The sequence below is a fragment of the Homo sapiens genome, chromosome 15 (assembly GCF_000001405.40).
Source record: "Homo sapiens chromosome 15, GRCh38.p14 Primary Assembly".
NCBI classification, from domain to species: Eukaryota; Metazoa; Chordata; class Mammalia; order Primates; family Hominidae; genus Homo; species Homo sapiens.
The window spans coordinates 69328954-69351934 of NC_000015.10; the positions used below are offsets into that span (position 1 = coordinate 69328954).

Below are 22981 nucleotides of genomic sequence, written 5' to 3' on the forward strand. Positions count from 1 at the left end.
AACAGGTTTCTGTGAAGTGACACTCCATTCACTGACTGGTAGCATGACTCTGTCCCACCACTTGGAGCCACGCCAACAAATCCTGCCCTGGAATGGGGATTCCGTCTGGACGCCAGGTTACCCTGGGAATGCGGCTTCGCCCTTGTTCACCAGGCACTGCAAGGGGCTGGTGGTTCTGAACCTTTCCTGGCTCACAGATGCCACTGAAACTGTTGAAACTTTGTTGAAAGCCATAGCCCTTGTCCCCAGTGACACACACACATATACACTCACTCACACATAATTTAACCTATAATTTGATAAACTCCCTGAGGTCCATCCATGGATTTTCATGGGCCTCAGGTTAAAAACCCCCATCCTTGAATATAGAGAGTAGATTGGTGGTTATCGGAGGCTGGGAAGGAGGTGGGGGATGAAGGGGAGAAAAAAAAGAATATAAATGTATTGACAATCACTGAACTAGATGGTAAATTATATATGTATATTTTACCTAAATTTATTTTTTCTTTCTTTTTTTTTTTTTTTTTTTTTTTTTGGAGAGAGAGCCTTGCTCTGTCACCTCGCTCTGTCTGATTGTTACCAGTGCAGTGGTGCAATCTTGGCTCACTGCAACCTCTGCCTCCCAGGTTCAAGCAATTCTTGTGCCTCAGTTTCCTGAGTGGCTGGGACTACAGGTGTATGCCACCACACCCGGCTAATATTTTGTATTTTAGTAGAGACAGGGTTTCATCATGTTGTCCAGGCTGGTCTTGAACTCCTGAGCTCAGGCAATCTGCCTGCCTTGGCCTCCCAAGGTGCTAGGAGTATAGGAATGAACCACTGCAAACAGCCTCAATTTTCGGTTTTTAAATCATCCTAAAAGTTTTTGCCGCTGATGGCTCACTCTCCTGAATGTGTTCTTTGTAGTAATAGTAGCCATAATAGTAGCCATAGTGGTAAATACCACTGGCATTGATTCAGGGTTTTGTAGCTAATAAAGTTTGTTCACATCTATTATTATTTCATTTTAGCTCCCCCATAGCCCTGGCCAGGTAGGTATTAATGTTTTTATTTCACAGATGACAAAAATGAAAGTCATTTGGAACAAGCCCAGCCAAATTCATACCTAGGAGATGGTAGAGAGAAGACCTGACCTTGGTCACCCAAAATCCCAAGCTCTATGTGCCTCTCCCCATCTTCATAGAACATTCTCCAAGCTTAGGCAGTCCAGGGTACTTGTTACAATACACCAGGGAATGTTAGTGAAACCACCTGTGCAAAATTATGACTGAGACCGTGAAAGAGATCTAACTTAACTGACTCCATCTTGCTTCTAACCCCAAGCTGTCTTTGTTCATTCCTGGGCATAGGCTGAACTTACTTTGGGAGAAACTGGGTTTGTAGTTTATGGTTTAAACAAAAATGGTAACAGCTCTTTCCCAAAGGAGACCTCCTTCTTGCCTGGGGACTAGATTAACATTAGCCACAGAATTAGAAATTATGGTTTAGGAGTCATGCAGTTGGAGGCCACAAGATTCTGACCCTCCCTAGACTGCTCTTAAGATCAGTGCTTGGGATATTTTGCAGACCCTGCACTCGGTGGATCAGCAGGCACCACCCAGATCAATGAACTGGCTCCTCTGATCTTGTGGCCCCCTCCCAGGAACTGAGTCAGTGCAAGAAGACAACTTCGACTCCCTATGATTTCATCCCTGACCAGCACTCCTGGCTCATTGGTTACCCACCCCCCAACCACCAACCAAGTTATCCTTAAAAACTCTGCTCCAGGAATGCTTGGGGAGACTTATTTGAGTAATGATAAAACTCCAGTCTCCCACACAGCAGGCTCTGCGTGAATTACTCTTTCTCTATTGCAATTCCCCTGTCTTGATGAATCGGCTTTGTCTAGGCAGCAGGCAAGGTGAACCCCTTGGGCACTTACAAATTTGGTGGCTCATCCAGGATTGCCCTTGTGGCTACCTGCCCATGGTTCGGTGGCCCCACTCCAGTGATGGATCCAGAAGCCAGCCCAAGCAGCCACCTAGTTCTCTTGGACTAGGGGCTGACTCAGGGACTCTCTGTACTGGTGGGGCACTGCCAACCCAGTGTACATCGATCTAATTGCAATGGAGAAATAGTCCTGGGGCGACGTTCCTTAACTGTAGCCCTATCACAGGGTGTCTGTATAGCCTATGATGGGGTGTCTGTCTGTAGCCCCATTGTGGGGTGTCTGGATTGGTGAGTAACCTAGGTGCTGCCAATGCCTCCTTCCTTCTCGCCACTGGTTCTGTAGCCCTATGGTGTGGTGTCTGTAACTCCACCATGGGGTGTCTTGTGTCTGTAGCCCCATTGCAGGGTGTCTGTTCAGCTCCTGCGGGGTCTCAGTTGGCTCTTTCTAACTAGTAAGAAGAGTCTTGGTTTGAGAGACTTATCCTCAATCTGGAAGATTTCGAGGCAGTTTCTCAGACGGAGAATAGGAGGATAGTTTGGAAGGGATACTCTTGGAGTTCTTGGTTAGGGATCTGATTTAGAAGGCCTTCTGTCTATCTCGTCTTTGTGTGTGTCTGTGTATGTGGAAGGGATCTCAGGAGAGGTTGCTAATGGAAGTCCAGCAGGTCTAACTCAGAGATCCCTCCTTATTTGCCTGGTTACATTTGGTAAGCCCTAAAGAAAGCTCAACAGGCCTGTCTCTCGGGGTGACTATCTGGTCTTCGCCTTGCCCAGAGACTCCATTGTGAATTACCATTTGGAGGTCATCCCTCCCCTCCCCACCTGGAGTGGATCAGAAACAGGGAGCAACGGGAAAAAGTTTGAGCTTTACCAGACTTATATTGGGTGCTGAATGAGGTGACTAATGTCTGTTCTGTTGTGTATATTTTGCTGGGATGGAAAATGTTAATTTGGTTCCCCATGCAACCTGTTGGTTAGCATCTTGCAAATTGAGAATCTTGCCTATGGTTCCATAAAACAGTAAAGTGGTTTATTTTTTCTCTTGTAAGTGGCTTGAACCTCACAGCTATAGCACAAGCGAGCAGGGTCATGAGAAGCCACTCTTTCTTCTGGAAGCTGCAGAGAAAGAGAACCCAGAAACCGGGTATGCCAGCAAAAAGGGTGAGAAATTCTTACCAGCGAAGATTCTGGTCTCTCTTTCTCTGTCTGGGTAAAACAGTAAACTATTGGTCTCCTCTGCAAGGGTTTGATTAATAGAAAAAAGGATTTGTGAGACTAGTCTTAGGCGGTAGCAAATCTGCTGTACTTTGTGCTAAGAATTTGTTTTTCTTTGTTCTGTAATGGAGAGAGGGGTATCACAGGATAGAATGTGGGTTTAGGACCCCTATAAGCCCGCTTTTCAAGCCAGCTTGGCAGGCTGGTCAGTTACAAACCTTGCTACAGGTTCCTGAAACCAATACTGGATGAAATTTCTCTGTCTTGCTTTGTGTCCTTAAGAGCTTAACCTTTTGACCATGTGGGGATACTTTCTCTTGGTTTCTGCCATCCAGAGGACAGGAATTTTGGGGTTCATGTCATAGTCCTAAAAATTTTTTCTTGAGCAGTTAAAAGCCTGTGCAAGCTTGAAATTGGCTTCTCTAGGCTCCTTCTGGGGAGAGGAATAGAAACTGCTCAATGCTGTAACTCAGTAGCTGAGGCTTTGCTTTTTGACAATGGCAGCCTGAGTTTTAGTCTTGGCTTCTGGAATGATTCCTTTCTGAGTTTTATTTATGAAACTTTGCCATTTATTGAGGTTCCCCACCCCACCCCCACCCCGGCCAACCCATGGATAGCTTCTGATTTCCTGTCTTGAGTTTTCCTTTCTCTAAACTACCCTGGGGGAGATTCTAAATCTTGTAAAAAAAAAAAAAAAAAAAAAAAAAAGAAACGGCTTACCTTCTCCTTGAGACATGAATGTGTCCATGGTTAAGTTATAACCTTAGCTAAAACTTATTAATTTCATGTGGGAAGTTAACTGTGGTAGAATTTAAAAGCCAAAAATACTGGTCGCTTAGTGTTAAAGTCGGGTAATAAAAAATTTAAAAGGATATTTTTTAAAGAGCGCTATGGTTAAAAGTCAGCTTAATTAAAAGTGGATAAACAAGCAATAGGTATATTTAAAAGGCCTTTATGTTTTCCTCTTTTTGGGACTTGTTTTTTTCCTGGGAAAAGGTTTTTTCTTCTCAGTTGACTGAATTATTTTTTTCCATTTTTTTTTATCTTGCCAATCTTAATACACACATGAGAGGCCCTAAGATAACTTCTGGTAGCCTGGGACTCCTTGGGAAAAACAGAGGAGGCACCACGAACCCCGTTTTGGAAAAAAGGCTCTGTTTTCCTCATGAAACCCCAGGAATTAAAAGCGGATAGATCCCTCTCAGAATCAAAGGCTCTGTTCTGTTTTTCACTGTGTTATCTGACAGTTTTGATTTTTAGGGGTATCAGAAATTACTTATTATGAGAGAGCTTTGGTGTGTAATAACTAGGTAGGAAATATACTTTAGGGAGTGGCTAATAGTAGTTGTGGAGGGATACTTGACTCTGCACACTTGGATCAGAGACGCATGCTCTCGGCCACCTGGAAGATAAGGAGGCGTCCCCACCCCGCACTGGGAGATGAGACTCCTGTGAGAGATGGGCCGATTACAAAATGGGCTGATTGGCTTTGGGTTGCCTTGAATGGAATGCAGGGTAGAAGCATTGCACGGTCTTCTCCCACAGTATTTCCCTCCTGTTGGGGATCCAGGATCCAGTATAAAATGGCACCCTTAATTTTGGGGATCTGTCTTTGCCTTCAGCTGCTTATTTGCTGCTTATTTGGCTCTAGAAATGCATGCTTTCCCGGCCCTGCTCCTCCAAGGGCTCCACCCTAAAGCCAGTCACCCAATTAAGAAACTGGCAAATGAAAAATTTTACAAGTGCTGAATCTTCTGTCTGTCTGTATTCATATGTGTTGTGTGTGTGTGTGTGTGAGATGTTTGTATAAAAGAGCTCTGGTTAATTGGCTTAGAAATATAAGCATTTAAATCAAATATTTTATCAGAAAAATAGAAACCGTAATACCTTTTTGTTCACATGACTTTAGTAGTCTTTTGGAAATAAAGACGGTTTTTTTGTTTTTTCTTTGAGATGGAGTCTCACTCTCTCACCAGACTGGAGGCAGTGGCGCAGTCTTGGCTCACTGCAACCTCCACCTCCCGGGTTCAAGTGATTCTCCTGCCTCAGCCTCCCAAGTTGCTGGGGCTACAGGCGCCCGCCACCACGCCGGGCTAATTTTTTTGTATTTTTAGTAGAGATGGGGTTTCACCATGTTAGCCAGGATGGTCTCGAGCTCTTGACCTCGTGATCCACCCACCTCGGCCTTCCAAAGTGCTGGGATAACAGGCATGAGCCACTGCACCCGACCTGGGAAATAAAGACAGTTTTAAAGATTATTGGTAAAATAAAATGTCTTGAAAATGTAGACATTTGGTCTAAAATAAGGTCAGGTATCAGATTTGCTAAATGCTTTAAGGTCAAACTGTTTCTTTGACTTTTGAGAATTGTTCAATTTCCCTACTTTGGAGCATTAGATGATAGGTAAGGCCTGGGGACATGTGGAGAGCCATGCCCGCCAGCTATGCTAAGAGTCAGACCTTATCTTCATTTCTGATTGATGTCCTAGGCTCCACCCCAGTACATAATTAAAATCGCTTACTTACCAGGTTTTTCACTAAAAATAAAAGTTGCTAAGATTTAACATTGTAATATGTAGTTGAGACCACTGGAGAATGCGTTTTACATACTAGGTGTGTAGGGAATGTGTTTTTGGTAAAAGATGATCAGAAGGCATGGGAATATGGCTTTTGTTAAAGGGAATGTAATTTTGTCTACTTCAGAGGGTTTTAAAGATTGTCTTAACCCAAAAGAGTAATGGAACAAAACTGAAGGTTTAAGCAAAGGGAAAGGGGTTTGTAAAGGGTTGATCTTGTAACAAATTCTGTGGGTATAAACAAGTTGGCTAAGATTTAAAAGAAATTGGCTGGGCGCGGTGGCTCACGCCTGTAATCCCAGCATTTTGGGAGGCTGAGGAGTGGGGATCCCTTGAGGTCAGGAATTCAAGACCAGCCTGGCCAACATGGTGAAACCCCAACTCTACTGAAAAAATACAAAAATTAGCCGGGCCTGTGGCAGGTGCCTGTAATCCCAGCTACTCAGAAGGCTGAGGCAGGAGAATCGTTTGAACCCAGGAGGTGGAGGTTGTAGTGAGTCAAGATTGTGCTCAAGCATGGGCAACAGAGTGAGACCATGTCTCAAAAAAAAAAAGATTTAAAAGAAATTTTAGCTTTTTTTTTTTTTTTTGAAATGGAGTTTTGCTCTTGTTGCCCAGGCTGGAGTGCAATGGCATGATCTCGGCTCACCACAACCTCTGCCTCCTGGGTTCAAGTGATTCTCCTGCCTCAGCTGCCCAAGTAGCTGGGATTACAGGCATGAACCACCACACCTGGCTAATTTTTTATTTGTAGTAGAGAAGGGGTTTCTCCATGTTGGTCAGGCTGGTCTCGAACTCCCCACCTCAGGTGATCTGCCCGCCTCGGCCTCCCAAAGTGCTAGGATTACAGGTGTGAGCCACCGCATCCAGTTTTTTTTTTTTTTTTTTTTTTTTTGAGACAGAGTCTCACTCTGTCGCCCAGGCTGGTGTGCAGTGGCACGATCTTGGCTCACTGCAACCTCTGCCTCCCAGGTTCAAGCCATTCTCCTTACCTCAGCCTCCCGAGTAGCTGGGATTACAGATGCATGCCACCCTTAGGTTAAAGCATTAAAATCATACTGATGTGGGGCCAGAATCTGGGTCTGTGTGTCCGAATAACAGGGTTTTCTTAGAAAACTGATCTGCTGTTGGATGGAAATTTGTAAAGAGTTCTAAAAAGTTTATAAAAATCTTACCTTATGGTCAGACTAATTACAACTGGATCGAGATATAAAATTTTATTTAAAAAACTAGCTTTAACATTAAAGATGCACTAATGCAAGCCTGAAATTTGGTTTTCTCTTTTGAAGACGATTTTTATGTAATGTTAAAAGATAATGAAAGTGGTTTTGTTTTCTCCTTTGGGTAAGTGGCAGGAAAAAAAAGGAGGAGAGAGAGAAAGGAGACAGATTCAGGTGGCTTCATGCTATCTTCATTGAGTCTTGTTTGGAAAGCTAAGTCTCCTCTATCAGAGTAAAGGCTTTCTTTTTTAAAAAAATTTTTTGGAGTTATCATTTTGGCTAAGTGAATGACTTATGGTGACCTGGGATTCTATTTTGTGATATCCAGTGTTTTAAACCTTTGATATTTGACAAACTTTCCAAAATCAAATTATAAATTATATCTCTTTCTAACCTAATATTTTAGATATCAGGTCCTCTAAAGTCCAAAAATGACATTTGGCTTATTTGACATAAAAATCATACAGGAAGCATTGTCAAGTATGAAATGGTGTTTGGCTTTCTTTGGGCTATATTTGTGTAAATGTATTATTGGCATATGTTCCAAAATTATGTAAAACTCCTAAAATTCTAATATGACTTTGTATATGTTATCAGTAATAATTATAATTATGTTAAATGGCTGTGTGCCACAGGTAACAAATCTCTTTGTCGATCGTGTCTTTAACTGTGGCTACCCTATAATGTTTTTGTCATCCACAGATGATTGTTGTCTTATTTTGGTCCTCCTAAAAGTTGGTTTTATAATCAGCTGTAAAATTTAACAGGTGCTCTTAAATGCAGATTTCTGCTTAATAACTCTGGAGATTGTGACTTTAGAATAGACAGAAAACTTTCAAAAGAAAGAGAGAATGGTGTTTGGTTTTCTTTGGACTGTATTTGTATAAATATGTTATTAGTATGTGTTCCAAAAGTTATGGGAAACTTCTATAATTCTGATATGATTTAGTGTACATTATTAATAATTATAATTGTTATGTAAAATTGTTGTATGCCACAGAAGTGGAAGAACCAAAATTCCTAGTCAATTGTAGCTTTAATAGTGGCTATAGACTTTTGTCATCCACAGACATTTTGTCTTGCTTTGGTCCTTTTCAAAAGGCAATTTATAATCAGATACAAGACTCTGAGTGCAGGTCTCAGATAACTTTAAAAATTGTACTATTGGAATAGAGGAAAAAAGGAAACTTCTAGGACTCTCGTGGAGAGCTGGTATGTTAAACATTGCTAATCCTTTTGTTTTCAGAGTAAAGATTACTTATTTCTTTAGAGCTATTTGCAAGCTTTAACAAGTGAGTAAAATATACTCCTGTGGAAAATTTTGGAGCATATTTGTTTCTCTCTACCTGATTGCTCTAGAATTTGGAAACCATTTGTGTGTATTCTCAATTTATGGCAGTATAGTTAATTACATAAGTGCAATAAGAATCTGTTTTCTTTTGTCACAGGACACCATTGGAGAAACTGGGCATTTTACCAAGGATTTGACTGGAATGGCATGCTTCCTTTAAAGATGAAAGTTGACTTTTAGAGCCAATTAAAGCCCTTTGGGGAATCTGGCCTCATACCTTGTCCACACAGAGTTCCTGTACAAGGTTCCTGACCTGTGGTAAGTAAAGAACGTCACTTTCTAACAGGCCCAGGAACCCCAGGTTATCTTGGGACCTCAAGAGGAGAGGATTTTGCTCAACTCATAGGTATTTGAGGGTACAAACCCATGGCTGGGCTCAGCTTTTAAAAACTTTTATCTGAGATTCTTCATGGAACAGAGTTCTATCAAAGCCAATTTAAAAAGCCTAAGTGAAAAATAATTATTCTTGCTGCACTTTATGCAAATCATCAGGCCAAGTAGAGTAAGACTAAAATTCATTTTGTAAACTGTAAATCAGTTCTATCATGACTTGCTTTTAAAAAAATGGGGACTGAAATCCCAGCACTTTGGGAGGCCCAGGTGGGTGGATTGCTTGAGGTTGGGAGTTCAAGACCAGCCTGGACAACATGGTGAAACCCTGTCTCTATTAAAAAAATACAAAAATTAGCCAGGTGTAGTGGTGTGCACCTGTGGTCCCAGTTACTTGGGAAGCTGAGGCACGAGAATTGCTTGAACCCAGGAGGCAGAGGCTGCAGCGAGCTGAGATTACACCACTGCACTCCAGCCTGGGTGACAGAGCAAGACTCTGTCTCAAAACAAACAAACAAACAAAAAAACCAGAAACAACAACAACAACAAAAAGATTGTTGTGGGAGGACTAAGGCTACCAGGTACCCAGACGGATGCATGTCTGGACAAGAAGCCCCTCCTAATGTAACTGCCCAAGGGGTTCACCTTGTCCACTGCCTAGTGGCAAAATTATGCTCCAAAAGAAAACTATAGTATACTGTTGTTAGCTGTTCTTGAGGTTTTTTCCTGCAGTTTAGACTAAATTCTAAATTCCTTGTGGGTTAGAAGTCCCCAAGCTAATGCTTTCAAATCTTTGCTTTTAAAATTGGGAATTGTACTCCTAATTGTAGAACTCGTAATGTACCTTATAGTAGGCTGTTCACTTAAACACTGTAGTAAAACTATAGATGAGAGCACTAATGTTTTTCCCACACAAGCCTTGGAAGCCAAGCCAGGCCTGCATGAGTACACTCAGACAGTTAGAAAGCGGTTCCACTCTTCTCACCTTGGGGTTCACTCCCATTCCCACAATGTCCCTTGTCAGCAGGAAGAAGCCAGAGCGATTGACAGCCTTCTCCTATCTTCATAGCCTACACCTTGAGATTAAGGTGTTACAAAATCCAAAGGGAGGGATTGAGACCGCCTTTGCAAAATTATGACTGAGACAATCAAAGAGATCGAACTTAACTGACTCCATCTTGCTTCTAACCTCCAAGCTGTCTTTTTCATTTCTGGGCATAGGCTGATCTAACTCTGGGAGAAACTTACTTTGTAGTTTATAGTTTAAACAAAAATGGTAACAACCCTTTCCCAAAGCAGACCTCCTTCTTGCCTGGGGACTAGACTAACATTAGCCAAAGGATTAGAAATTATGATTTAGGAATCTTGCAGTTGGAGGCCTCAAGATTCTGACCCTCCCTAGACTGCTCCTGAGATCAGTGCTTGGGATATTTTGCAGACCCTGCACTTGATGGATCAGCAGGCACCGCTCAGATCAGTAATTTGTCTCCTCTGATCTTGTGGGCCCCACCCAGGAACTGAGTCAGCGCAAGAAGACAGGTTCGACTCCCTATGATTTCATCCCTGACCAGTCACCACTCCTGGCCCACTGGCTACACCCCCCACCCCGCCACCAAGTTATCCTTAAAAACTCTGCTCCTCAAATGCTCAGGGAGACTGATTTGAGTAATAATAAAACTCCGGTCTCCTGCACAGTTGGCTCTGTGTGAATTACTCTTTCTCTGTTACAATTCCCCTGTCTTGACGAATTGGCTCTGTCTAGGCGTGGACAAGGTGAACCCCTTGGGCAGTTACATTAGGAGGGGCTTCTTGTCCAGACATGCATCCGTCTGGGTACCTGGCGGCCTTAGTCCCCCCACAACAATCTTTTTGTTGTTGTTGTTGTTTCTGGGTCTTTTTGGTTTCGTTTTTGTTTTTGAGACAGAGTCTTGTTCTGTCACCCAGGCTGGAGTACAGTGGTGCAATCTCAGCTCACTGCAGCCTCTGCCTCCCAGGTTCAAGCAATTCTCATGCCTCAGCTTCCCAAGTAACTGGGACCACAGGTGCACACCACCATGCCTGGCAATTTTTGTATTTTTTATTACAGACAGGGTTTCACCATGTTGTCCAGGCTGATCTTGAACTCCTGACCTCAAGTGATCCACTCACCTGGGCCTCCCAAAGTGCTGGGATTACAGGCATGAGCCATTGAGCCCGGCCCCTCCACAATCTTTAGAATGTACCAGAGCATGTGTGACTCTAGGTGGAAAAAAATCCATGGCTCTTCGTAATCAATACAGGTGACCTGTGACATTAACACCTTTTTTTTGGGGGACGGAGTTTTGCTCTTGTTGCCCAGGCTGGAGTGCAATGGCACAATCTTGGCTCACCGCAACCTCTGCCTCCCGGGTTCAAGCGATTCTTCTACCTCAGCCTCCTGAGTAGCTGGGATTACAGGCATGTGCCACCACGCCCGGCTAATTTTGTATTTGTGGTAGAGATGGGGTTTCTCCATGTTGGTCAGGCTGGTCTCAAACTTCCGACCTCAGGTGATCTGCCCGCCTTGGACTCCCAAAGTGCTGGGATTACAGGCATGAGCCACCGTGCCCGGCCTCACATTAACACCTTTTTTTCAAGCTTTTTTGTTTATGGCTTTTAGTAAGCAATACCTTTTGTCATAATCTAGTATACACATACAGTCATACATAACATAGCAAGCAATATCTATAAACATATGTAACAAACATCATAAAACAGTACTTACCTTTACTCTGCAATACACTGATATTTTCTGTCTATTCTTTTCCATACGATTCTATCTTTAAATGTTAATCATGACTCACTAAATAGATTTCACGATCCATTGAGAGGTTGTGACCTGCAGTTTGGAAAGCACTGTGTGAGCAGACATAATCATGGCTTTAATGAATGGCAAACTACTTGGGAGTTGTTTATAATCTTGCTGAGGTGGGCATTTGACCCATGCTGCAAGGAGGCTGAAGTTCAGGCACGTGTCATTCAGCTGATGAGTGACCTCAGCTTTCCCCCAGCTCCCTGCCCTGTGAGTTGGCCGTTTTCTTCCCATGGTGGATTCAGGCATTGGCATGGCGGGGTGAGCTTCTGGTCCTTCCAACTCTAGGACCCATGCACATGTTCCCACTGTTCGTTAGAGACCTTCCTTATTTTTGACTTTGCCAGGCCCTCACTGAGTGACCTCAAGCAAGTCATTTCCTATCTGAGGTTCTCAGATATAAAATAGGAAGAAGGGTGGATTGAACTAGTCTGCGCTTCTCACAATAGTGGGGGAGGCAGTTTGCAGCAACAGGATGTGTATAATATGTATTTTTTTTCTGGAAGATTTGGAGAAAATAAATTTTTGTATTAAAACAACTATAAATTATGGAGCAGACTACAAAAAGCACGTGCTTTTTAATGATACTTTTTTATTGTGGTAAAATATACGTAACATAAAATTTATCATGCTAAGCACTTAAAAATGTGTAATTCGTTGGTATTGAGTACATTCACATTGCTGTGCACCTATGACCACCATCCATCTCCACGACTTCTTCATCTTCCCAAATAGAAACTACGTATCCCTTAAACACTAATTCCCCATCCCCTCTACCCGCCCCCGGCCCCCCTGCCAGACTGTCTTTACGTAAATGTCTCTAAAATTTGCCTATTCCAGGCATGTCATCTCAATGGAATCATACAATATTTGTCCCTTTGTGTCTGGCTTATTTGACTTAATGTTTTCAAGCCTCACCCATGTTAAAACATGTATTAGAATTCTATTCCTTTTTTTTTTTTTTTTTTTAAAAAATAGGGTCTTGCTCTGTTGCCCAGGCTGGAGTGCAGTGGTGTGATCACAGCTCACTGTGGCCTTGTTCTCCTGAGCTCAAGTAGTCCCCCCACCTCAGCCTCCAGAGTAGCTGAGATTACAGGCATGAACCATCACATTGGGCCTTTTATTCTTTCTTAAGGCTGAGTAATATCCTGTAGTATAGATATACCACATTTTGTTTATCCATTCATCTGCTGAAGAGCATTTGGGCTTTCACCTTTTGGTCATTGTGAGTAATGCTGCTATGAAAATTGGTTTAGAAATACCTGCTTCAGGCCGTCGCACCTGTAATCCCAGTACTTCGGGAGGCCAAGGTGGGTGGATCACTTGAGCTCAGGAGTTTGAGACCAGCCTGGACAATATAGGGAGGACTCATCTCTACAAAAAATACAAAAATTAGATGGTGTGGTGGCATGTGTCTGTGGTCCCAGATACTTAGGAGGCTGAGGTGGGAGGATCACTTAATCCCAGGAGGTCAAGTCTGCAGTGAGGCACTCCAGCCTGGACAACAGAGTGAGACCCTGTCTCAAAAAAAAAAAAAAAACTGTTTCAGCCCCTTTCACTTCTTTTGGGTATATAGATAGAAGTGAAATTGCTGGATTATATGGTAATTCTGTTTAACTTTTTGAGAAACTGTCATACTGTTTTCCATAGCTATTGCACCACTTTACAGTCCCACCAGAAATGCATTAGTTTCTATTTCTCCACACCCTTGCCAATACTTACCTTCTGTGTTTTTTGTTTTGTTTTTTGATAGCAGCCATCCTAATGGCTATGAAGCGGTATCCCATTATGGTTTTGAACTGTGCTTCCCTAATGACTAGTGGTGCTGAGAATCTTTCCATGTGCCTATTGGTTGTTTGTTCTTTTATTATTATTATTATTATTATTATTATTATTATTATTATTATTTCTTTTATATTGGTTGTTTGTATATTTGGGGAAAAATATCTATTCAAGCCATTTGCCCATTTTTGAATTGGCTTGTTTGGAATTTTTTTGTCAAGTTCTGGGAATTCTTTATATATTCTGGATATTAGTCTCTTATAGACATCTGATTTGCAAATCTCCCATTCTGTGGGCTGTCTTTCACTCTCTTGATAGTGTCCTTTGATGCATACAGGTTTTTAATTTTGATCACATGTTTTAAGGTAAAACGTGGTCTGAAAGCAGCTGGGGCCCCTGCTCCTAGGCTCTGCCTCCCTCCATCGTCCCCCAGGGTGCTATTCAGTCCTTGGAGGTGGTGAGGACTGCTGGGGCCTTCTGGCACAGTGATGGGATCAAGACTTGGCCTCATTCACCTCCTGGGCTCTGTGCTGTTTTCTGTTCACATGAAGGAGATTAGACAGGAGCCCCAGGGGAGGGAGAGGATCAGAAGTGTGGCTCAGCCACCCAGAGCCTGCCTAAACTCAGGACCTCCCCTTCACCTCTCACTCTCTGTTCTTCTCCAGCCACGCTCAGACCCTGCACCTTGCAGCACTGGCTAAAGAAGCCAGCTCCTCCTACCACATGCAGGAGGCATTCAGACCACTCTGAGATAAGCAGAAAGGTGATGCTGGCTTCCCTGTCCTGACATCTCCTTGCTTCCTTCTCACAGAACCTGAAACCCCTATGTTAACCTTGCTTCTTTGGGTCAAATGTATGACCACTTGTCTGAAATGCCTTTAACAAAATCCAGACATCCGGTGGTGATTTAGACTGGATGGCTTCTCAGAAGCTTCCCAGTCTCATGTTTCCATTTTAAAGCAAGCATGGAGAAATTTCCTACCAAACAGTGTTCTTTGCCTTTGTTTTGCATTACCCGACTATGAGTTGAGTATTTTGTTTTCCAATATATTTTTCAGGAACAAAGAAGTGGCATCACAGCTGGGTGTATCCAGAGCTTTTCATATTCAGGGTCACTGTGTTCCTTTATTAGGATAATAGGCTGTCTGGGGGAACGCCAGGTAACCCTGGACTTTCCCAGTGAATACTTATTTGGGATCCTTTCAGAAGGCACCTGACACAATCAAGAGAGAGGGAAAGAAATAGAGGCAAAAAAAATGTAACACAGATTGAGATTTATTCCCAGGAATATGGTCTTCCACTTGCAAGTCCTGGTTTTGTGGTAAAAGAGCCTTTAAAGATCCCTTTAAAGAGCAGAGTAGTGAGTTTGGAGAAAGTAATCATTGCAGATGAACTTAAGCCAATTGCTTATTCACAATAACTGTCTTTCATCAATCAATTTCAACACGCACTTTTTTTGTGACATTTTAACAGCTCTGAAATCAGGATTCATTTCCCATCAGTGGTGCCTCCTGATAAAATTGGCAGCATTTGTGGGTGTGTGTGTTAGTAGTAGGCAAAAATAGCGGCATGACTTCCAGCTGATAGATAGTGTCTGAAGTTGATTGAAATACAATCCTAGGTTCATTCAATATCTGCAGGTACCTGAGAACTAGAAGGAACCCCACAATCTCAGCACCAGGTGGCACAGCACAGTGGAAGATTCAGGCTGAGCAAGCAGACAGATAAACAGTATAATGACCTAGCAAACCCCAGCAAGCTGCTCTTCCTCCTGAGTGGCTGGGACCACAGGCACATGCCACCATGCCTGGCTTATTTTTGTATTTTTGGTAGAGATGGGGTTTCACCAAGTTGCCCAGGCTGGTTTTGAACTCCCGGACTCAAGCAATCCACCTGCCTTGGCCTCCCAAATTGCTGAGATTACAGGCATGGGCCACCATGCCCGGCTACAGCAAGCTACTCTTTTAGGAACTCTTAGGCACACCTTGCTTGAAAGTTCATGCATGGCTGATGTGACGGCTGTCTTGTGGCATGCTTCAGCTGAACTTCTAGTTGTATTCAAACCATTGACTCTTCCCTAAAGTGTTTATCTGGGCTCATTCAGAGGAGTGGCCTCTTTGGGGTATACCATAGCTGTCATGCCAGAGAGAGGAAACCTTCTCACTAATTCGCATATCTCTAATTCCACTCATTTCTCCAAAGAAACAGCATTCACTCTGCTAATTAGCAAGCCCCCTGGTGTTGATTAAAAATAACCTCAACTGAATCAAAGCTGTACTCTCCGGAATGTGTGTGTGAGTTTATGATTTGTCTTTCAAATGCTAACTAACCACCCCCACCAGGGGTATGGATTAAAACTAACATTTTCATATCATGTTATCTATGTGAAGTATTTGAAAGCAAATTGCAAACAGCATAATAATAGCAAATGAGTACTTGTGACTTGGGACACATTTTTCAGCAATTAGCATTAAATGCAGCTTTAAAAAGTATAGATTTCAAACAACTTTGTTGGCGGTAAGAGTATTTTTCAAGTAAACTGTGTGAGGTGACTCAGAAGAGTGGCTGTAGTTGTGAAGATGCTCTTGCTGATTTTGAATACACTTATTTCTATGAAATATGAGTGGAGGCTGGGCACCATGGCTCATGCCTGTAATCCCTGCATTTTGGAAGGTCGAGGCAGGTGGATCACTTGAGCTCAGGAGTTAGAGACCAGTCTGGTCAACATGGTGAAACCTTGTTTCTACCAAAAAATACAAAAATTAGCTGGACATGGTGCTGTGCTATAGTACTAGCTACTTGGGAGGCTGAGGTGGGAGAATCTCTTGAACCTGAGAGGCGGAGGTTGCAGTGAGCTGAGATCACACCACTGTACTCCAGCCTGGGTGACAGAGTGAGACCCTGTCGTGAAAGAAAAGAAAAAGAAAAAAGAAAAGAGAAAGAAGAAAGGAAAGAAAGAAAGAAGAAAGGAAAGAAAGAAAGAAAGAGAAGGAACAGTGGAAAAGCTATTTTAAAATTAATATATTGAATATATTTAGGGGTTCTGAATATGTATGCCTAACTACATTAGTGAATTAATGCTGTGAAGAGACTGTTTATTAGTTTATTTGCATTACTGGAAGTTATTAAGTTTTTGGACTCTCTCATTGGGAAAATAGTCCATAGGCTTATAATTTGGCCACCTTTTATGTAAACATATTCAATAGGTTATGAGTTTTGCCAACTGTGTCCTTCAAGGCCTAGTATCCACAGAGTGTAGGCCAAAGTTCTGTGTTGGGGGATCTTTATGGATGGACCCCTAGCCTGAGAGGAATGAGATAGCCAAGTGCAAATTTCACCTCTTAGTAATTTTGCTTGGTCTCAAATGGAAAGGTTTTAGCCTGAAACCTCCTGAGGGTGATTTTGCTGTTGATTTGCCTGTTTTGTTTTCTTTTTTAAGGCTATTTCAGGGGAACTCAGCATGTCCTGGAGAGTGCATTAAACACACACTCTCTTTTTGTTTTGATTTTTTTGAAGCTATTTAAAACTTATTTTAAAGCTTTGGAACTCTCTTTTAAATGAAATCTTACATTCAGGATCTGTATCCTAGGTAAAAAAAGAAATCTTGCATAGTCAGGGGTGCCTGTAGTCCCAGGTACTTGGGAAGCTGAGGCGAGAAGGTTGCTTGATGCCAGGAGTTCAAGGCTGCAGTGTGCTGTGATCACACCTGTGAATAGCCACTGCACTGAAGCCTGGGCAACATAGACCCTTTCTTTAAAAACAAAATAAAACAAATGAAATCTTATATGGAACACAAATACACTGTTAAAACATTGGCAGAGCTTTACAGTTATGTTTTGACTTCAGAATTCTTAGAGGCCCTTTTGTTTCATTCAAGATGTTTCTAGACCTCTGCAGAAAGAGATAACCAGCCAAGCTGCTGTTTGAAATACTAGAAATTACAATCTGGATTTTATAGTGTTGGTGAAATTAAGGTCTTGGATTATGACGGAAAGAAGCTAAAAAGACCAGTGAGTTCATTTTATGCTCAATCATAACTGAAATGATTAAACACATAGGAATCAGTGACCACACATGATGACTTCCTGTGATTGGCCATGGATATTTTGTAATTTTTTTTTTTTTTTTTTTTTTTTTTGCGACAGGGTCTCACTCTTTCACTCAGTCTGGAATGCAGTGATACAATAATAGCTCACTGCAGCCTCCACCTCCTGGGCCCGAGCCATTCTCCCGCCTTAGCCTCCCAAGTAGCTGGGACCACAGGCACATGCCACCGTGCCCAGTTAATATTTTTTGTAGGGAGGAGGTATCACTATGTTGCCCAGGCTGGTCTTAAACTTTTGGGCTCAAGTGATCCTCTCACCTTGGCCTTGCAAAGTGCCACCTTTTATCACCTTTAATGTATTATAAGCGTGAGCTACCACGTCCAGCTGCAATTTTTTTTTTTTTTTTTGAGTACACAATTTTACTCTGTTCCCCAAGCTGAAGTACAGTAGCATGATCTTGGCTCACTGCAACCTCCGCCTCCCAGGTTCAAGCAATTCTCCTGCCTCAGCCTCCTGAGTAGCTGGGACTGCAGGCATGCACCACCACACCTGGCTAATTTTTGTATTTTTATTTATTTATTTATTTATTTTTATTTTTTATTTTTTTGAGATAGAGTCTCTGTCGCCCAGGCTGGAGTGCAGTGGTGCAATCTCCACTCACTGCAAACTCCGCCTCCTGGATTCAAGCAATTCTCCTGCTTCAACCTCCTGAGTAGCTGGGTTTACAGGCACCCACCACCATACCAGGCTAATTTTTTGTGTGTATTTTTAGTACAGATGAGGTTTCACCACGTTGGCCAGGCCGGTCTCAGACTCCTGACCTCAGGTGACCCACCTGCCTCGGCCTCCCAAAGTGCTGAGATTACAGGTGTGAGCCACCACGCCAGGCCTCCAGCTGCAATTTTTGACAAACTTAAAGATTTACATTTTAAATGCAAAATAACCACGGATTAGCAAGAGAGTTCTTATTTATCCGGATGGCAAGAAAACATGACACAAGAAATCTCCCACTTTTGAAACAGGAGGGTCAAGTTGGGTCTTACCTGATAGTTTGTCTCAAGCTAATTAATTGGCAAAGAGGTTCATTGTTTAGCATCTAAGTTATAAACGTCATTATAAACATTCTGTATTTTCCATTTTCTATCAGTCGGAAAAAGAAATTAAGTCCTAGTGTCTGCTAGGGTTTAAGTCCCTTTAGCTAAAGTCAATTCTCTTCTTAAAAGGAAACTTACACCCCATATTTTCTTTCTCAAAGGGAGGGCCTTATGTTATGTTTTCACTATAATCCAGAAAAAAGTGGGCATCTTCTGGTTAAAATAGGGACAGAAGTGACCTCTCTTTCTCCCTGGTGGCCATTACAATCCCCGCCCCTCCAAAAGTGGTCTCTGGGTGTCTTAGTCTGTTTGAGCTGCCATAACAAAATATCATAGCGAGTGACTCATAGACAACAGAAATTTCTCACAGTTCAGGAGGCTGGAACTTCAGTAGATTCGGTGCTTTTGGTCCATAGACACTGTGTCTTCTTGCTGTGTCTTCCTATGGCTGAAGGGCAGGTGAGTTCTCTGGGGCCTCTTTTATCAGGGCGTTAAGTCCCTTTCATGAAGACTCTGCCCTCATGACCTAACTACTTCCCAAAGACCTCACTTCTAAATACCATAACATTGGGAATTAAGCTTCAACATATGAATTTTTAGGGTGACACAAACATTCAACCTATAGCACAGGAGCATAACCAAGGGCCCCACAGAGGGCAGTTTCAAAGCCTCCAATCTCTTGAGTCTCTGCAGCCAACAGTCCTCAGCTCAAAGGGCAGGGGTCCATGGACCACCAACATCCTTCCCATCCCTGACTCCCTCCACAGACCTTCAGGCAAACCAGAAACCAAAGGCCGCCTACTGGCTGTGTGATCTCGGGCAAGGTCCCTAACTTTGGGACACCTCTGTTTTCCTCTCAATAAAACATAAAATTAATTTTCCTGCCTGAAAATTAATAATAGGAAGTGTTTGTTGAACCCTTACTTTTATGGCAGGCCATTTACATGGGTTATGTCTCTTAAGTATAAGAAGGACCCTATGAAGAAAGTACTGCGATTTTAATTTTACAAATGGGGAAACTGAAGCACAGGGAGTTAAGTAACTTACCTAAGGTTGCACAGGAAACGGTGAAGCAGTCTTTGAACGCAGGTGTTTTGAAAGCAGCACTTGGGCCCTTACCTGCTTTGCTGGGATTTCTCAGATGGCTGAGGTGAGGGTGAATGAGATGAGACAGGCAGGCGAGGTGACCAGCATAGGTTTGGTTCAGAGTAGGGGAGAGATTCCCTGCTTCTCAGGGTTTGCATGTGTTAGTTGGGTACTGTGAGGGTTAATTTTAGGTGTCAACTTGGCAGGGGACATGTTCCAAGACGTTCCAAGTGAAGGCCTGAACTGCATATAGTACTAGACTCCAGAGATGGTAGGTTTTTCCGATCTGATACTCAAGATGGCTACCTATAGCACTAGACTCCAGAGACGGTAGGTTTTTCCGATCTGATACCCAAGATGGCTACTAGGTGACCAGAGGGGCAGGTAGCTGTACTCAGTGAATACACTAGACAAAGGGTGATTCACAGGGATTCACTGCCCAGGCCCGATGGAGTGGGATGGTGTGAGATTTCACCGTGCCACTCGAACTTTGCACTATTTAAAACTTAAGAATTCTTTCTGGAATTTTCTATTTAATATTTTTAGACTGCCATTGACGTCAGGTAACTAAAACTATGGAAGGCAAAACCTTGGATGATGTGGGGAGCACTCTACCTTGAGAACTGGTAAAGCATTATTTTGGGGTACACCTGGGAGGGTGTTTTCAGGGGAGATTGGCTTGTGAGTCGGTGGACTGCGCGGGGAAAATTTGCCCGTAATGTGGGTGGGCACCATCCAATTAGCATCCCCACCCACAATGGTATGGCCTTCCCACCTCTGTCTGCGGGTAAACTCTGCTCGCCTGAGGAACCAGAAATGTCCTCTCCAAGGCAGTTGCCAAGAAAGATAATTCTGATTCTCCTCAGGACCCACACATATCACTCCACTTTGCTTCTAGACCTGCAACCAGGCGTGAGTCCCAGCAGGCCCCTGAAGGTGAGGCCCAAAATGTGACCCACGAGGAGCTGTACTACCCTCCACAAGAACCAAATCCAGAGAACATGTGTGGGGATGGCTATCAGGGTGTGGGATAATGTGGAAGGAACATCAAGTTGGATCAGGCCGAATTTATTGCTGTGGGCACACTAAACAGAGATTCTGCATGTAATGTTCCAGTGTGGGGAGTTAAGAAAAGTACTAACACTTTGGTTGGTTGGCTGAAACATGAATCAAAACATGGGCCACTATTAACAAGTTGGAGGTGTTCGATCTCCCTTAGTTTATTTTTATTTTTTTTTTTATTTTTTGAGACGGAGTTTCACTCTTGTTGCCCAGGCTGGAGTGCAATCGCATGGTCTCAGCTCACTGAAACCTCTGCCTCCTGGGTTCAAGCCATTCTCCTGCCTCAGCCTCCTGAGTAGCTGGGATTACAGGTGCCCACCACCACACCCGGCTAATTTTTGTATTTTTAGAAGAGATGGGGTTTCACCATGTTGGCCAGGCTGGTCTCGAACTCCTGACCTCAAGTGATCGGCCCGCCTTGGCCTCCCAAAGTGTTGGGATTACAGGCGTGAGCCACGGTGCCCAGCCTTCCCTTAGTTTCAAGCAGAGGAAGGGATCCACAGGCTTAGGGAGATTGGAAGGCTAGAGTGGATTTTTCACTTAAGACTTACTCATCCTAAAGAGCTCTGATTGCTCATTTCTGTAGGCCAGACTTTACAATGGGAAAAGCAGTCGCTTAATTGGAAAAGTTAAATGCAGTGGGAATAACTGGATCCCAGGGTAGCAGGGGCCGCGTGGCGGCACTCAGCTCCAACGGCAAAGTGGGTATAGTTATGGTTGTGGGCAGCAGAGGCAGAGAACCAATCAGAATCGTCTGTCTCGTGCAGATCTATGGCATTGGCTGGTCTAGAAGTGAAATAGAAAGTCTACTACGATCTTACTTGATCTGTATAAGCAGACAACTTCCAGACCAAGTCAACAAAGGCCTAATTCAGAGTGTAAGAACAGGCTGAACATGGTGGCTCACACCTGTAATCCCAGCACTTTGGGAGGCCGATGCAGGCAGATAACTTGAGGTCAGGAGTTTGAGATCAGCCTGGCCAACATGGTGAAACGCTGTCTCTGCTAAAAATACAAAATTTAGCCAGGTGTGATGGCGCACACCTGTAGTCCCAGCTACTTTGGAGGCTGAGGCGCAAGAATCGCTTGAACTCAAGAGGTGGAGGCTGCAGTGAGCCGAGATTGAGCCACTGCACTCCAGCCTGGGCAACAGAGTGAGACCCTTTCTCAAAAAAATAAAAAAAATTAAAAAATCACACACACACACACACACAAAACAAACAAAAAAACCAGAGTGTAAGAACACAGACTCACAGTACCTCAATCAATTCCCAGACATGAGCCAGTTTATAGACCCAAAAACCCTTGAATATAGGGGAGGCTGGGTTCCCTCAGGGAGGGGGACACTACTGAAAATTTATACTATTACTCTTTCTCCCAGGCTTCGCCAAAGGGATCTGTGACCCAGGGTAACTGTGCTTTAGGAAAAGGAAGTAATCAGAGGTTTCATGGACTGCTAGACACCGGCTCTGTGCTGACATTGATTCCAGGAGGCCCGAAATGTTACTGTGGCCCTCTAGTCAGAGGCGAGGCTCATAGAGGTGAGCTGATCAGTGGAGTTTTAGCTCGGGTCTGACTCATGGTGGGTCCAAGGGAATAGACATACTTAGAGGCTGGGAGAATCCCCACATTGCTTCCCTAACCTGTGAAGGGAGGGCTATTATGGTGGAAATGGCCAAATGAAAGCCATTAGAGCTGTCTCTACCTAGAAACATAATAAATCAAAAACAATATCCCATCCCTGAAGGGATTGCAGAGATTAGTGCTGCTATCAAGGACTTGAAGACACAGGGGTGGAGATTCCTACCACATCCCCATTCGGCTTATGTATTTGGCCTGTGCCAAAGACAGATGGATCCTGAAGAATCCAGAAGACAGTGGATTATCACAAGCTTAACCAAGTGGTGACTCTAATTGCAGCTGCTGTACCAGATGTGGTTACATTGCTTGAGCAAAATAACACATCTTCTGGTACCTGGTATGCTGCCACGGATCAGGCAAATGCCTTTTTCTCCAACCCTGTCTATAAAGCCCACCAGAAGCAACTTGCTCTCAGCTGGCAAGGCCAACAATACACCTTCACCGTCCTACCTCAGGGGTATATAAACTCTCCAGCCCTTTGTCGCGATTTAGTTTGCAGGGCACTTGATCACCTTATCTTTCCACAAGAGATCATGCTGGCCCATTACATTGATGGTGTTATGCTGATTGGACCTAGTGAAGTAGCAACCACTCTGGGCTTATTTGTAAGACATTTGCTTACATAGAGGGTGAGAAATCTGACAAAATTCAGGGGCCTTCTACCTCGGTGTAATTTCTAGGGATCCAGTGGTGTGGGTGGGGTATCTTGAGATATCCCTTCTATAAGATGAGGGATAAGTTGTTGCATTTGGCCCCTCCTACAACCAAGAAAGAAGCGCATGAACACCTTGGGCTTGTTTGGATTTTAGGGACACACATT

At 43.3% G+C, this 22981-nt stretch overlaps 1 protein-coding gene across 18 annotated transcripts in view, besides 2 other annotated features; it reads left to right on the plus strand.

The window, feature by feature from the left end:
* The window catches only part of PAQR5 (progestin and adipoQ receptor family member 5), a 108869-nt gene that overhangs the window by 30042 nt on the left and 55846 nt on the right, over positions 1-22981 (plus strand). For 9 of the 18 annotated variants that reach the window (XM_047432749.1, XM_011521720.3, XM_047432750.1 and 6 more), the window contains one exon: positions 8388-8548. The gene's annotated coding sequence lies outside the window, so the exon portion shown is untranslated. Of the gene's footprint in view, positions 1-8387; positions 8549-10058; positions 10160-20004; positions 20395-21901; positions 22062-22981 lie in introns of all 18 variants that reach the window. The other 9 variants (XM_017022362.2, XM_047432753.1, XM_047432743.1 and 6 more) reach the window with 5 other exon arrangements.
* Positions 13304-13804: an enhancer, noted in NCBI's record as "H3K27ac hESC enhancer chr15:69634596-69635096 (GRCh37/hg19 assembly coordinates)". NCBI's record gives its function as "activates a minimal SCP1, AML or CMV promoter by ChIP-STARR-seq in naive H9 embryonic stem cells {active_cell/tissue: H9 hESC(naive)}" and the evidence as "EXISTENCE:reporter gene assay evidence [ECO:0000049][PMID:30033119]".
* Positions 13805-14305: an enhancer, noted in NCBI's record as "H3K27ac hESC enhancer chr15:69635097-69635597 (GRCh37/hg19 assembly coordinates)". NCBI's record gives its function as "activates a minimal SCP1, AML or CMV promoter by ChIP-STARR-seq in naive H9 embryonic stem cells {active_cell/tissue: H9 hESC(naive)}" and the evidence as "EXISTENCE:reporter gene assay evidence [ECO:0000049][PMID:30033119]".